The sequence below is a fragment of the Homo sapiens genome, chromosome 4, assembly GCF_000001405.40.
Source record: "Homo sapiens chromosome 4, GRCh38.p14 Primary Assembly".
NCBI classification, from domain to species: Eukaryota; Metazoa; Chordata; class Mammalia; order Primates; family Hominidae; genus Homo; species Homo sapiens.
Window position 1 is genome coordinate 90,161,796 of NC_000004.12, and position 14,889 is coordinate 90,176,684.

Genomic DNA, 14,889 nt, shown 5'->3' on the forward strand with positions numbered 1-14,889 from the left:
ATATTTTTTTCAGTTTAGAAAGTGCAATTATAGCAGATAGATGCACAAAGTAAACCAAATTCAAGACCTAGAGAGCTAAAAGGTGTTCTTTTTCTCTACAAGCTATCTACTTCACTGTGAAAATAAAGTGCTACCTTTTGTAAAACACAGTTTTTCAAGCAAGTAGACAAATGTTGCATTGGAAAGTAAGGCTCTATCTGTGTCCATATCAAGTCTATTCTTCTGGCTCAGAAAGTAAAAACAAACAAAAAGCTATGGTATTTTGGAAGGTGGAGTGTGGTAAGGTGGCAAAGGGATAAGTTGGTGAAAGGTTTAGGTGTACAAAGTATGAACCAGTTTCTCTCAGGCTTATGTTCTTTTTGCCTCAGGAAGCTCATTTTGACATATCCCCTCACAGACTATTACCCATTTCCTTCTGAGTGTGAAGCAGAAAGCCTTCCCTTTATTAACTTGCTTCCCTGTAGGCTGTTCCTAACTGAAATATTGACATTTATGTGTTTTACATGCTCTGATCACAATAAATGCTAATGTTTTATCAATATTTAATAATTATGATAGCAGAACTCATATAATGTACTCAGATGCCTTCCTCCTGTATCATTTCTGTATCTGATAATGACATAATGACATTTTCACCAAATAAGTATATAAAAATTAGTCTTAATGCTTGTACTTATCCCACTGTATGTAAAAGTTAACGTAACATAATGGATTAAGTGTTTTTCAATTAGAAAATAATTTTTAAAACTTATCCTTTTTTAAATGAGCGTAGCAGTATCCTAAACAGTATTATAGAAGTCTAAAAAAAAAGTTAAGACATCAAAACCCTAACAGTGGTGGAAAGTCACTTGAACAGTGACAAGAAGAGTCCAATGAGTCATAAATAAGCTAAATTAATTCAGAAGCTGCAGGGTGCTGCAGAGATGTGGTTGGTACCTTTTGACCTGTGACCAAAAAAAATTCATTTTTTTCTTCTATGGTTTATGGAGATAGCCTTGTGGGATTCTTATCAATTGAAGTTACAATATTCAGTACTTGAATATAAACATGGTGGATTAGAGTCTGTTAGAAACAGTGACTTAGATAAGCGTGTTAATATTTTAGGTCACTAGACAACCACCTAATTGAATAGTATAAAACAATTTGTGTCTTTGTCCAGGGAGTAAGAAACCATGGAAATTATTCACATATGTCACAACTCCAAGATTATTTTTATTCCTGTGTTTGTTTCAGTTTATCATGTTTTTACACATTTTGAAAGAAGAGATGCATATAATTATTTTCAACTTTTTTGTCACTTATTTTAGCATTATTTTATTTACATTCAAATAAAATAATCTTTAAATTTATGCTTTCTTATACATATATGTTTATGTTTTTCTGACATTGTTAGTTTATGATGCTAAATTTAAGCATTGCATTGTTAAAGGCAGGTAAATATGACAGAGTGCTTTTAATGTAATAAGTGGGGATAATAAATGTTTCGTAATACCTATATTGGCAGTGGAGCAGATAGCTTATGTAGAAATAGAACGCCATTCTTAAATAGGTCAGAATTAGCTCTTTAGGCCTTGAATTTGGTTTACTTTGTGCATCTATGTGCTATAAATTCACATTACAAACTGAAGAAAGTATGGGAATTTTTACATTTTTACTTTTGATCACGAAATTTGTTAGTTTATTCTGTTAGTGTAGAGAGAAAAAAGACTACTTTGAGTTATAAACCCACATTTTTTACCTATTATTATTAATTCACACTGATTCACTATTTGATTTGTGCTTAAAACATTTTTAGATTTTTTTACATGTAGTATCTAATTTAATTCACAACAATGACAAGAGGTATTTTCTATTGTTATTCTCATTTAAAAATAAGAGATCTGAGATAGGAGATTAACTTTACAAAGGTCACTAAGATGTCAAGGAAATGAGGTGTAGATTATTATAAATGCTCTAACTTTTTCCAGATTTGCTCCCCAAAGAAGGTTGGAAGTACTACATTAATGACATTGTACCAGCTGACTTTCTAGATTTGTAGTAATAAAGTGGGAATGAAGTGGGGTTGGGAGGAGTGTATTCACTAAAAATACCTTCTTTGTTGGCTTTGGCATACTGAAAAGAGAAACATTTCTTTTGAGATAAATTTTCTAGCCATTTCTGCTAGATACCTCCTTTTGGCAAGTGTTGAATTTGGATGCACTCTGTTTCAGTTTTTATAGCTGGGTGTTTGCTGCTGTCTTGGGTCATGTTTGTCAGGGGTTGACAAGCACTTTAGGATGTTGTGCAGCTTCAGGCAACAGCAGGCTCCCTGGAAATCATGACTGCTTCTTTTAACCTCATAGTTCTCAAAATTCCGTGGCTTATGAGAACCTACATGAAAGCCTGCCATGTCACACATTTAATAAGGGTTTTTTTTCAAATCATTAAGGAAAATAATAGCTACAATTTCCTACATTCTTAAGGTTTTTTTTTTTTTCTTCAAATTTTGGCTTCTACTGTTACTTGTCTATCGCAGAATTGATTTTAGATGTTACATTTATATTTTAGAACAAAATTTATTTTTAGTTATTTAAGATATGAAGATAATCGCAAACATTTTAAAGTTTAAGGAATAGTAATTTTTTCTTTAACTGCTGTTGGACAAAAAAGAATCTGTACTTGTGTTGCTGGGCTTTTGAGATCTTTTTTGATAGTCAGGATAATATATAGGTATGCTGAAGTAGCACAGATAGTAGATTGAGTTACATAAGAAAGGACACACAGCTAACTGAATATTTTTAAAGGTGGATTAAAAAGAATAGATCCATAAAAAGAATCTAAAGTAGCAGATCCAGAAATAAAGCGAAGAGGAAAATTAGAGTTGTCTAGACTTCCTACAGAAAGGGAGAGAAAAGAGAAATTGTGAAGCAGCTACTGTGTTGAATGAGACTTTGTCTAAAGAGTGTGTTTTGGATATTTTGGTCATTGTTATATAGAAATCTGTATATAGTGAGCACCCACCCATACCCATAGACTACTCTCCCCAAATACACTTTGCTACCTTTTGACAAAACTTGAATGTTTTTGAATTTTTTTTGAATCTTTTAGACTTGGATTGGTGTTCTGTGGATATGATAGCATACAGAAATGGGCCAGAAGGCAGGATAATGAGGAACAAAGGAGTATTGATGGTGGTTTTTACCAAATCAAAAAGACATATAGATATTTCATGATTTGAACTTGTTGAAAATCACTGATGACATTTCTATCTTTTTCTGGATTCTAATCCTAAACTCTTAAGGCTGAACCTGTGATCTACTTGGCATTGTTTTTGAAGACCTAGAATTTTAACCTTAGTGTAATGCTTATGCTTCATTAGTTGATAGAAGCTTCTCTGATACCAGTTGTGCCAAATATTAAGTTTCACTATACACAATAGCTGGTGTTATGCCTGTCATTGGAAGTAAATGAAGGACTGTGTGCTTTAAATATTACTAAAACTGTTCTAAATCCTCTAAAGAATAGGAAAACAATTGATTCATGTTCTTCAAAAGGATTTTAATGTAACTGCTGATTTGGTGATGAGCATACCCAAAATGTTTAGTTTGGGGAATGTGGTGTCAATTGGAATTCTTGAAACTACACTAGTATTATCCTATTACTGAGTCATTCCTTTGAGGGTGGCTTAGAATTAAACCATCTTGGAAAGGAGAAGACATTATATCCTCTTTCATTTATTTGTTCAACAAACATTAAATTGTTACTCTTATTGGGCAGTGTGTTAGTTTTCATAGATACAACAATAAATAAGAACTCTCTTTGACTTCATGGATTATATTATCTATTGGAAAAGACAGATGTGTAAATAGATTATAATTACATGTTTCTGTGATAATGGTATACACATGTCATACATACTAAGAAGGAAGCATAGGACAATAATCTGAGAGTTGTTTTAACCTAAAAAGACTAATTGTCACAGGGAGGAAATCTGCATGGTGAGAATTGATGGGGTTGAAAATTTTGCAGTGAAGTATGAGGCAAGCTGTGTTTAAAAAGCAGAAATGTAATATGGAAGGTGAGATGATAAACCAGGAATGAGTGAAACCAGAGGATCATTACTTCAGTAATAAAATCTCTAGGGAAAACTAGGTTAAAGCTGGGGATGTTGTCTTCTGGAATTTAAGAATAGAAGTTAATGTATGAGTTCACATGTATAACTCATATTCCAACTATAGACGGTCCCTAACTTAAGATGGTTTCACTTAACAATATTTCGACTTTATGATGGTGCGAAAGTGATACGAACTGAGTAGAAACCATACTTTGAACACCCACACAACCATTGTTTTCCACTTTCAGTACAGTATTTAATAAATTGCATGAGCTATTCAAACGTTACTATAAAAGAGGCTTTGTGTTAGGTAATTTTGTCTAACTGTAGGCTAATGAGCATGTTTAGGTGTGCTTGGCTAAGCTCTATGGATGTTAGGTTAAAGGTTGTATATATCAAATGCATTTCCAACTTAGATATTTTCAACTTAATGGTGAGTTTATCAGGGCACAACCCAATCATAAGGAGCATACTTTAGTGTTGTGTAATAGCAACACTAAAATAGTGACATAGAGTAAAAAAGTAGGTACATGGTCTTAGATAAGACAGTATACCATATACTTGACATAATTTTTTTTGGAAATAGCACCCTCAAGGAGGTATTTTGTTTATATTATTAAAAGCTTATAGCATTTAAAAATTAATTAAGGGGAGAATAATTATCAGATTTTTACTCTTTAGCTAATGTCATTCGTATAATAAAATGCCTATATAAGTTTAAGGAGTATAATTCAATTAAGCCTTCTTTCTGTGGTTTTGAAAATAATTTTTACAATGATAATCAGCTGCAGCAAAAACAGATCTAAGGCAAAAATACCAAATTGTATTAGAATAGTCAAATTTCAGATATTTTTATTGCAAATGTTAAAAGAGTTTCAAATATCAGCTTTAAAAACTTATGTAAAAGCTCATTGTATACTAATGTGATTTAAATAATATATAATTAACCTACATAGGTTGTGTAATTAATTTACCAGTATTTAAATAATTTAGGATGATAATATTCTAGAACTGAGGCTGTGTCTTTTTTTAGTTTCTTTTAAAATATCATATTTTTAATTCTTGAGATAATTGCTTGTTGGAAGTATCAATTTAGTGAAATTCTTTAATCAAGCGTAAGTTTATGTTATATCATCTTCTTATGTGTATTGTTTATTATAATTGATTGTAACATAAGTGACTTCACCTTGCATTAGCCAGATAAAATAAAATTCAGCAATGTAATTTTGGATTTCCACATTTCTATGTTAAAGTACTTAAAAACTCAAACTCAAGAAGTTACAAAGGTGTTAAATATTAAAGTATCAAGAAATTAGCAATTTAAAAATATCTGTGTCTCATTTTAAGCATATAGTTACATCCTAAATATATTTTTCATTTACAACTGTTAGAAATGAGTTAATTTTAAGGATACTACTACCAGGGTAAAAATATAGATTGAATTTAAGAAATTTATAAGAATATTGTCAATAAAGTTGTACATTTTCATTCTATCCATGGCTAAAGAAAGATTATCCACACACTCATACGTAGTCATTAATACAGAAAGATGGGAAAGATGGTTTGGGACAATTTTATTTGTTTTATTATTATTTTTTATTATACTTTAAGTTTTAGGGTACATGTGCACAATGTGCAGGTTTGTTACATATGTATACATGTGCCATGTTGGTGCGCCGCACCCAGTAACTCGTCATTTAACATTAGGTATATCTCCTAATGCTATCCCTCCCCCGTCCCCCCACCCCACAACAGGCCCCGGTGTGTGATGTTCCCCTTCCTGTGTCCATGTGTTCTCATTGTTCAGTTCCCACCTATGAGTGAGAACATGCAGTGTTTGGTTTTTTGTCCTTGTGATAGTTTGCTGAGAATGATGGTTTCCAGCTTCATCCATGTCCCTACAAAGGACATGAACTCATCCTTTTTTATGGCTGCATAGTATTCCATGGTGTATATGTGCCACATTTTCTTAATCCAGTCTATCATTGTTGGACATTTGGGTTGGTTCCAAGTCTTTGCTATTGTGAATGGTGCCACGATAAACATACGTGTGCATGTGTCTTTATAGCAGCATGATTTATAATCCTTTGGGTATCTACCCAGTAATGGGATGGCTGGGTCAAATGGTATTTCTAGTTCTAGATCCCTGAGGAATCACCACACTGACTTCCACAATGGTTGAACTAGTTTACAGTTCCACCAAAAGTGTAAAAGTGTTCCTATTTCTCCATATCCTTTCCAGCACCTGTTGTTTCCTGACTTTTTAATGATCGCCATTCTAACTGGTGTGAGATGATATCTCATTGTGGTTTTGATTTGCATTTCTCTGATGGCCAGTGATGATGAGCATTATTTCATGTGTCTTTTGGCTGCATAAATGTCTTCTTTTGAGAAGTGTCTGTTCATATCCTTTGCCCACTTTTTGATGGGGTTGTTTGTTTTTTTCTTGTAAATTTGTTTGAGTTCATTGTAGATTCTGGATATTAGCCCTTTGTCAGATGAGTAGATTGAAAAAATTTTCTCCCATTCTGTAGGTTGCCTGTTCACTCTGATGGTAGTTTCTTTTGCAGTGCAGAAGCTCTTTAGTTTAATTAGATCCCATTTGTCCATTTTAGCTTTTGTTACCATTGCTTTTGGTGTTTTAGACATGAAGTCCTTGCCCATGCCTATGTCCTGAATGGTACTGCCTAGGTTTTCTTCTAGGGTTTTTATGGTTTTAGGTCTAACATTGAAGTCTTTAATCCACCTTGACTTAATTTTTGTATAAGGTGTAAGGAAGGCATCCAGTTTCAGCTTTCTACATATGGCTAGCCAGTTTTCCCAGCACCATTTATTAAATAGGGAATCCTTTCCCCATTTCTTGTTTTTGTCAGGTTTGTCAAAGATCAGATGGTTGTAGGTATGTGGCATTATTTCTGAGGGCTCCATTCTGTTGCATTGATCTATATCTCTGTTTTGGTACCAGTACCATGCTATTTTGGTTACTGTAGCCTTGTAGTATAGTTTGAAGTCAGGTAGCGTGATGCCTCCAGCTTTATTCTTTTGGCTTAGGATTGACGTGGTGATGCGGGCTCTTTTTTGGTTCCATATGAACTTTAAAGTAGTTTTTTTGAATTCTGTGAAGAAAGTCATTGGTAGCTTGATGGGGATGGCACTGAATCTGTAAATTACCTTGGGCAGTATGGCCATGTTCACGATATTGATTCTTCCTACCCATGAGCATGGAATGTTCTTCCATTTGTTTGTGTCCTCTTTTATTTCATTGAGCAGTGGTTTGTAGTTCTCCTTGAAGAGGTCCTTCACATCCCTTGTAAGTTGGACTCCTAGGTATTTTATTCTCTTTGAAGCAATTGTGAATGGGAGTTCACTCATGATTTGGCTCTCTGTTTGTCTGTTATTGGTGTATAGGAATGCTTATGATTTTTGCACATTGATTTTATATCCTGAGACTTTGCTGAAGTTGCCTATCAGCTTAAGGAGATTTTGGGCTGAGACGATGGGGTTTTCTAGGTATACAATCATGTCATCTGCAAACAGGGACAATTTGACTTCCTCTTTTCCTAACTGAATACCCTTTATTTCCTTCTCCTGCCTAATTGCCCTGGCCAGAACTTCCAACACTATGTTGAATAGGAGTGGTGAGAGAGGGCATCCCTGTCTTGGACCATTTGAAATGAGATATGAGAAAACCAATTTACTCTCAGAAAGAAATAGAATATCATTTGAAAACTTGTGAAACTGCTATAAACCATCATGTTACTGAAATGCATTCATTTTAAAGGTCTCTCTGTACCACAAAAACGGTTTTATTGTGGAGCATATGAACAGCTTCTTCCATTCTCACTACATGCTTAATGTTTCTTGTTCCTCATTAGTTAGCCTTTGTCTACATTCTTTAATTGTGGATTTCTATGGGTGTTAATCACTGGGTTACACATGTACTTATCTAGTGTCCCTCTCACGTTTTATTCTTAGTTCTAGGCATAAACCTTTTCATGCCATTTTCCAGGCTTAGGCTTCTATGATAATACACGTATCCTGGACCTCCTTCCCTTTCTTCTTTTCCCCATCCTCCCTTTTCTATCTGTCCTTAGGTGTTCTTATGTCACCTAGATAGATAATTCCTCTAGCCTCCACTCTGGTTCAGATCTTCTGATTTCCTTATTCATTTATTGGTTTCTCTAAAAGTTTCCAAATGTTCTTAAAGTCCCAGCATCTTGACTCCTATGCAATCATCTACCCATTATATACACACTACTGAAATATATCTATTACCAGGCAAAGGTGGCCAGAACGTCTCTTGAAGGCAGATAGTATATCTACAAATAATTTGCCTCATGCTATTGTTTCTATCTTAGAAATTAGATTTCTATAGAAATGGTACTTGGGCATCCAAACAGATTCAACACCTTCTTTTATATCACAGATAATATGTATATTGTTTTTACTGTTTTTGTTAAAGGAACCTTGAAATATCTTTTAATTCTCGAACACTTTACCTACCTAACAGCTAACCTTTTTTTTTTTTTACTGTATTTTACCCTTTGCCTAGCAATAAACTCAACAATTTAAAAATATTTCTGATTTATTCTAATTATATTTTTCACCAGTTAACCATCGCCCCCTAGCCACTCTCCACTACCCTTCCCAGTCTCTGGTAACCATTCTGCTACTCTCTATCTTCATGAGTTCATTTTTTTTTAGCACCCACAAATAGATGAGAACATATGCAATTTATCTTTCTGTGCCTGGCTTATTTCATTTAACATAATGACCTCTAGTTCCGTCCATGTTTTTGCAAATGACAGGATCTCATTCTTTTTTATGGCTGAATAGTATTCCATTGTATATATGTACTATATTTTCTTTATTCATCTTTTGATGGACATTTAGTTTGCTTACAAATCTTGTCTATTGTGAATAGTACTGCAATAAACATGGGAGTGCAGATATCTCTTTGACATACTGATTTCCTTTCTTCTGAGTATGTAGCTAGCAGTGGGATTGCTGGATCATATGGTAGCTCAATTTCTAGTATTTGATAGCACAACAGTGTGATTATAGTCAATAATAATTTATTATACATTTAAAAACAACTGAAAGAATATAATTAGATTGTAACTCAAAGACAGGATAAATGCTTGAGGTGATGGATACCGAATTGCCTCTATTGTGACTTTTATGCATTTATGCCTGTTTCAAAAGATCTCATGTACCCCATAAATATATACACTTAATATGTATCCCCAAAAATTAAAAATTAAAAAAAAGTCTTGTGGGCAGAAATGTAAAAAAAAAATAAAATACAGGAATATATTTTAAAAATTTATTTGCATCAATTTAAAGGACACAAGTGTAAAAAATTTATACTAAGAGAATTTTCAGTGTCCTTTGAGGGTTTGTCAAACTAAAATCTTAAAAATGTTATTAAGACGTTCCTACTTAAATCTAACCTAAATATTTATTGTGCCAAACTGCCCACATGAAAACAGAATAAATATTTGTGATGTAAAGTAACCATTTACTACTATTAAATCTTGTCTCAGCTTTGTTTTTGCCTATTATATATCATTTACTTAAAAACCTTTTAATCACACCCTGATTAATTTGGATTGGTTTTTGTAATCTGACAGTGTAACTTCCAAATAATAAAGATGTTTTAAGTTAAAAACACTTTAGAAGTTTTTCTTCACTTAGAAACACATTCCACTGTGTAAGTCCCTTGAAGTCAGTTATAATTATTACAGTCTGTGGGGATTAGTATATTGTAAGGAGATTACTGGGCTTCTTTACTTAGCAGCACAATGAGCAACGGTGTACCCTGAGCACACAGAGCGGTAAACATTGGAATTGTACAGTTAAAAGAGTTCTGCATAAACATGCTATGTTCCAGCACCCACTTAAAAAGAAATCAGCCTGAAACCAATAAATTTCTGTTGAGTACTACTCTGTATATATTATTTGCTATAAGGGCTAGAAAGTAAAGAAATATAAGACATGATTTCCAGGCTCAAGAATACTGCAGTTGTTTACGAGGAAGGGCTGTGTTCCTGTTGTAAACATTTCATACAATAATCTTATTCATATCACTATTTTTATAACACAGGGAAAGAAATTGAGAATCAGAGAAGTCAGATAATTGCCCAGGTTCTGTAGGTGGGAAGTGTAAGAGTTGGAATTCAAATTTTTCTCTCTGGGTGAAAAGGCCATGCTCTTTGCTCATGTCAAATCCGCTGGATGGAAAAGATGATCACACATGCAGTAACACTGAACACTTACGTGATGATGACTTCCATTGTGAGTATTGTCTATAGTTACTCTAGAAAAACTCAGAGATTGTTAAAGTAACCTATAAATGCTTCATAGAGGAGTTAAGAATTGAGTTGTATTTTGAATCAGAATAGGATAAAGATATACCCAGAGAAAGTTGAAATAAAAGAGCAGGAGTTAGTGCAAAGGCATGCAAATAGAAATAGTATGTATATTTCAAATGTGGAAGAAAATAAATTTTGTCAGTTTACCGTAGAAAGATTCTTTTAGTAATAGCTTGGAAATAAGACTAGATAAGGCATAATTGTATGAGCTACACTGATTGATCATGTACTAGTTATTGATATTGGTAAGTAATTTAAATATACTAATTCATTTAATCTGAATAACAACCATATCAGAAGTATAGTATAATTAATTTCATTTTATTATGCAGAAATGGATTGTGCAGAGAGAGTAAACAGCTTTTCCCAAGATTTTACAACTAGTAAGTGGAAAATTGAATTCAAATTCAGGTATTCTAGCTCTAGATCCTGTACTCTTAACCACTATACTATCCATTCCTCTGGGAAAATGAGACAATATTGCATGCAACCTTGAAAGTCATGCGTACTAGCTACGTTTGAAATAGTAAAATGAAATAGTGACCTAGGATTGAAACAATATGTGTGCCTGGTGGTATGGCTGGAGTTAGGTAGTGGTTGGTGTGCAGTAGGACTGGAGAGTAGGATTGTAAAATCTGCAATAATTTGTGATTGATTTTAAATATTAAGGTGAGGTAAATGTTAAAAATTTTATGGAGTTTTAGATTCTGGTGATTGGGATAGTGCTAGTATCAATTACAGATAGATAAGACCCTATTTGGCAGGGAAAGTGGCGATTTCAGTTTTTTCATGCTGAACTTGAGCCAACTGTGATACATCAAGATGTTGATACCCAGAAGATGTATCTTAGAATACAGGACAGACAATCTGCTGAGGATCACAGAAATTAAGATATCAATTTAAAAGTAATACAGTGTAGTAAATTTAATAATTATTTGAGTGTAAAATATTGCTGAAGAAGTGCTACCAAAAGTGAGTTTCATGGGCCATTGTGGTCCACGAATTGTTTCTGGTTAGAATTAAGAGTAATTCATGTTTGTTATATGAAAGTATTGATCTGCAATTGTGTTTTTTTTCAAAAAAAAAATGATTCTTCAGGATAAATATTTCAAGAAGCATTGTTCTAAATGGTTACATTCCTTTGCTGTAATGACCAGACAGTATCAAGGTCTCCCAAACAAATTGAGGCATTTTCCAGCATTTCAGGATTAAGCTCAATTGAATTGACTTTATTCACTTTTGTCTCCTTCAGCACCACCTCCCAGATAAGTAGGAGCCTGGGTCAGTGATCTTGTCCTAGAGTCTCAGACAAGTACTAGGACAGAGCATTACTTTCCTGTAATATGTGATTAAGGTGAGCAATCCAAGAGGCGGAATCCTGTAATGAAATCAAAGTCAGTTCAGACAAACCATCTATCTCACTATCATCAATCCAGAAATGCTAGGCACAAGTTTAAGGGTTAAAAGTGAAGAATAAGAAAACAATCATTTTCTCCTGGCTTGAGAAAACATTTAAGGTCATCTTCATAGGTCACTTAAGAGTGGCTGGCTGTGATCAGTTATGGATTATTTAGGAGCATTGATTGGACTTGTATAATTATAGCCTGGCAGACATCACATCTGATTAACTCAGCCTTACCATGGAGATGACTTAGTTTATATTTTTTAAATTGTACCTGTACCATTTCAGTACTTCCTGAGAATTCTCAGCCTATTTTGTAGGATTTATTTTCTTCTTATCCAAGTCAGAAACAATCTACCTACATGATTAAACTATGTCCCTTGGTCAGTGAAACTGATAGGTTTGTTAAATACATAAAATCACTTTAATTTTGAGTAAGAAGGCAAGAAGAGGTGGGTACAGAGAATGTCTTCTAATAAGGAATTATTATTAGAAGGATTATGATCTGAGATGCCTAAAAAGTCAAAAACTCTGAAGTATAAGGAATATAAATATAACAAGAAAAATCTGTATATACCAGGAGTTTACAACTAGTTTAAAGTGTAAAGCATACAAAAAGTTTATAATTAAAAATATAAGCAAATGCCATTTATTTGATGGAGTAACAGGGATCAGATCTGACCTTCCACTGTAAACAGCAAAACATGAACAAAATATATAAAGCTCTAATTTTTAAGGCACTGGAACACTGGAATCAGCCAACAAAGAACAATGGATCGTAAAAATTGGAGAATAAATGAAGTAAGCCTTATGATTTTCTCAGGTTAGTGCCTTGAGAGTTTCTATGTCTCAATGCACAGATGGAAACTCAGGTGAACCCTGGTGGATTCTCTGTAATGAGGAGACAGAGCTGAGAGTTTGGCAAGACTACAGCAGCAAGAAATTGCAATACAGAGTACCGAGGAAGGAAGAGCTGCACTCGAAGAATGCTGACATGTGCAGAGGATCCCCTTTAGGTATTCTGCTGAATACTAAGTAGCACATGTATGTGAGGAAACTACCTGAGGCCTGAAAAAGAAATTTCTAAAATGAGTAGAGGTGACAAGTGACTCACACAGGGCTAGAAATAGTACCTATTCCCACAAGTGGCAAACCTATTAGAGAAGTTACAATTAAAAAGATTGATTGTATCAAGTGTCGAGAATGTGGAGCAACTGGAATCCTCATACACTGCTGGTGGGAATGTAAAATGGTGCAAGCACTTTGGAATGCAACTTTTCAGGTTCTTAAAAAGCCAGACATGTACCTTCTACCTATGACCTAGCTATTCCAAACACAGGTATTTACCCAAGATAAGTGAAAGCATGTATTTATCCAAAGACTCAGACATTTGTATTCATAGCAGTTTTATTTGTAAGAGCCAGAAACTGGTAACAAACCGAGTGCCCATCAACAGGTGGATGGGTAAATAAACTGTGGTATGTCCACAATGGAATAATACTAAATGATATAAGGAAATGAGCCACTGATACAGGCTACAACATGGGTGAATGTCAAACTAGTTATGCTGAGTGAAAGGGGCTAGATGAAATTACTTCATAATGTATTCAATTTTTATACAATTCTAGAAAATGCAACTAATTTATGATGATAGAAAGCCAATCAGTGGTTCCATGAAGAAGGGGTAAGATGTATGCTGGCCGGAAAAGATGGGAAGGAGAAATTAAATAAAGAATTGAGAAACCTTTAGAGTTGATAGGTATGTTCATTTTCTTGATTGTGGTGATGGTTTCACAGGTGCCTATACAGATTGGCTATCCCTAATCCAATAATCCAGAATAAGAAATACTCCAAAATCCAAAACTTTTTGAGCGCCGATCTGACACACAATAAAAGTTTATTGGCACATTTTGAATTTTGGATTTTTGGATTATACCAGGAAGTAGAATGCAAATATTAAAAAATCTGAAATATTCCAAAATCCAAAATACCTTTTATCCCAAATATTTTGGATAATGCATTCTCAACCTGTATATGTAAAATCTTATCAGTTACCATTTACAATTTTTAAAAGTACAGCTTATTGTAGGTCAGTTATCTGTCAAGAATTTAAAAATGAATATGAGTGAATGATACTTGCGAAGTGAAGGATAGATATAGTAAGTGCAGTAGCTACTCAAAAGAGTGTGAGAGAGAAATAGAGAATTAGGAATCATGTTCAGTTAAGAAAATGTATATAAACAAAATGGGAGATATATTAGAGCTTAACAGTAAACATTTAGACAGGTTGATGTAAGATGAATGGAGGTGGGTATGGTATCAATAGAGTCATCAAGGGGAAAAATTGTAGGATTTTCATAAAATGAAAAAGCTGTGATCTTAAATAGAGTGATCTCAAGTTTTGGAAAGGGGTGGACAAGAGGGCATGATAGTTGGGAACTTTTAAATGACAGGTTAAGACGTCTTGGCAGTATCTGTGGAGTAAGGATGCTTAATGGTCAGAATAGATGAGTGACAAGCTCTGTGTGAAGGAGCTTGATGCCAGAAGAGCAGAGAGCACCAAACAGTCTTCAGAAGCACTCAGGTCAAGTGAATTCAGGAAAAAGAGTTATAAACGTTGAAAACAATTAGTCATCATAGTATCAGACAGGCTAATTTGTAGAAGAGCTTTAGACACAGGATACAGTTTTTGCAACTTCCGCAGAGAAGGCCTGGAGAAGAGGAGGAATGAAAGGACAGACCATGGCTTGTCAATGAGATGTTGTTTTCTGAAATAAACATAGTGAATAGGTCTCTACTGGAAACAGTATTGAACATACCCACTTATTAAGAGGCCTTCTAACAAAGTGCACAGAGAAAAGAATCCCCTGTTGAGGTTGCTGATTTCCTATGAGGGATATTTTTGGAGAGCAAATTTGGTCTGATACTGATACTTTTTTTTTCCCATAAGAGTTGTCTTACTTTTGGACCACCTGTCGATATCCAGAAACTCTGAAGATTCCCAGAACCATTCCAAGTAT

The 14,889-nt window shown here is 34.1% G+C and overlaps 1 protein-coding gene across 35 annotated transcripts in view, besides 1 other annotated feature; it reads left to right on the top strand.

Annotated features, from left to right (window-relative positions):
• Window positions 1-14,889, top strand: part of CCSER1 (coiled-coil serine rich protein 1) — a 1,477,902-nt gene that overhangs the window by 34,402 nt on the left and 1,428,611 nt on the right. The gene's annotated exons all lie outside the window — the stretch shown is intronic.
• Window positions 4,332-4,391: a silencer, noted in NCBI's record as "silent region_15572". NCBI's record gives its function as "represses an Ori minimal core promoter by ATAC-STARR-seq in GM12878 lymphoblastoid cells {active_cell/tissue: GM12878}" and the evidence as "EXISTENCE:reporter gene assay evidence [ECO:0000049][PMID:35858748]".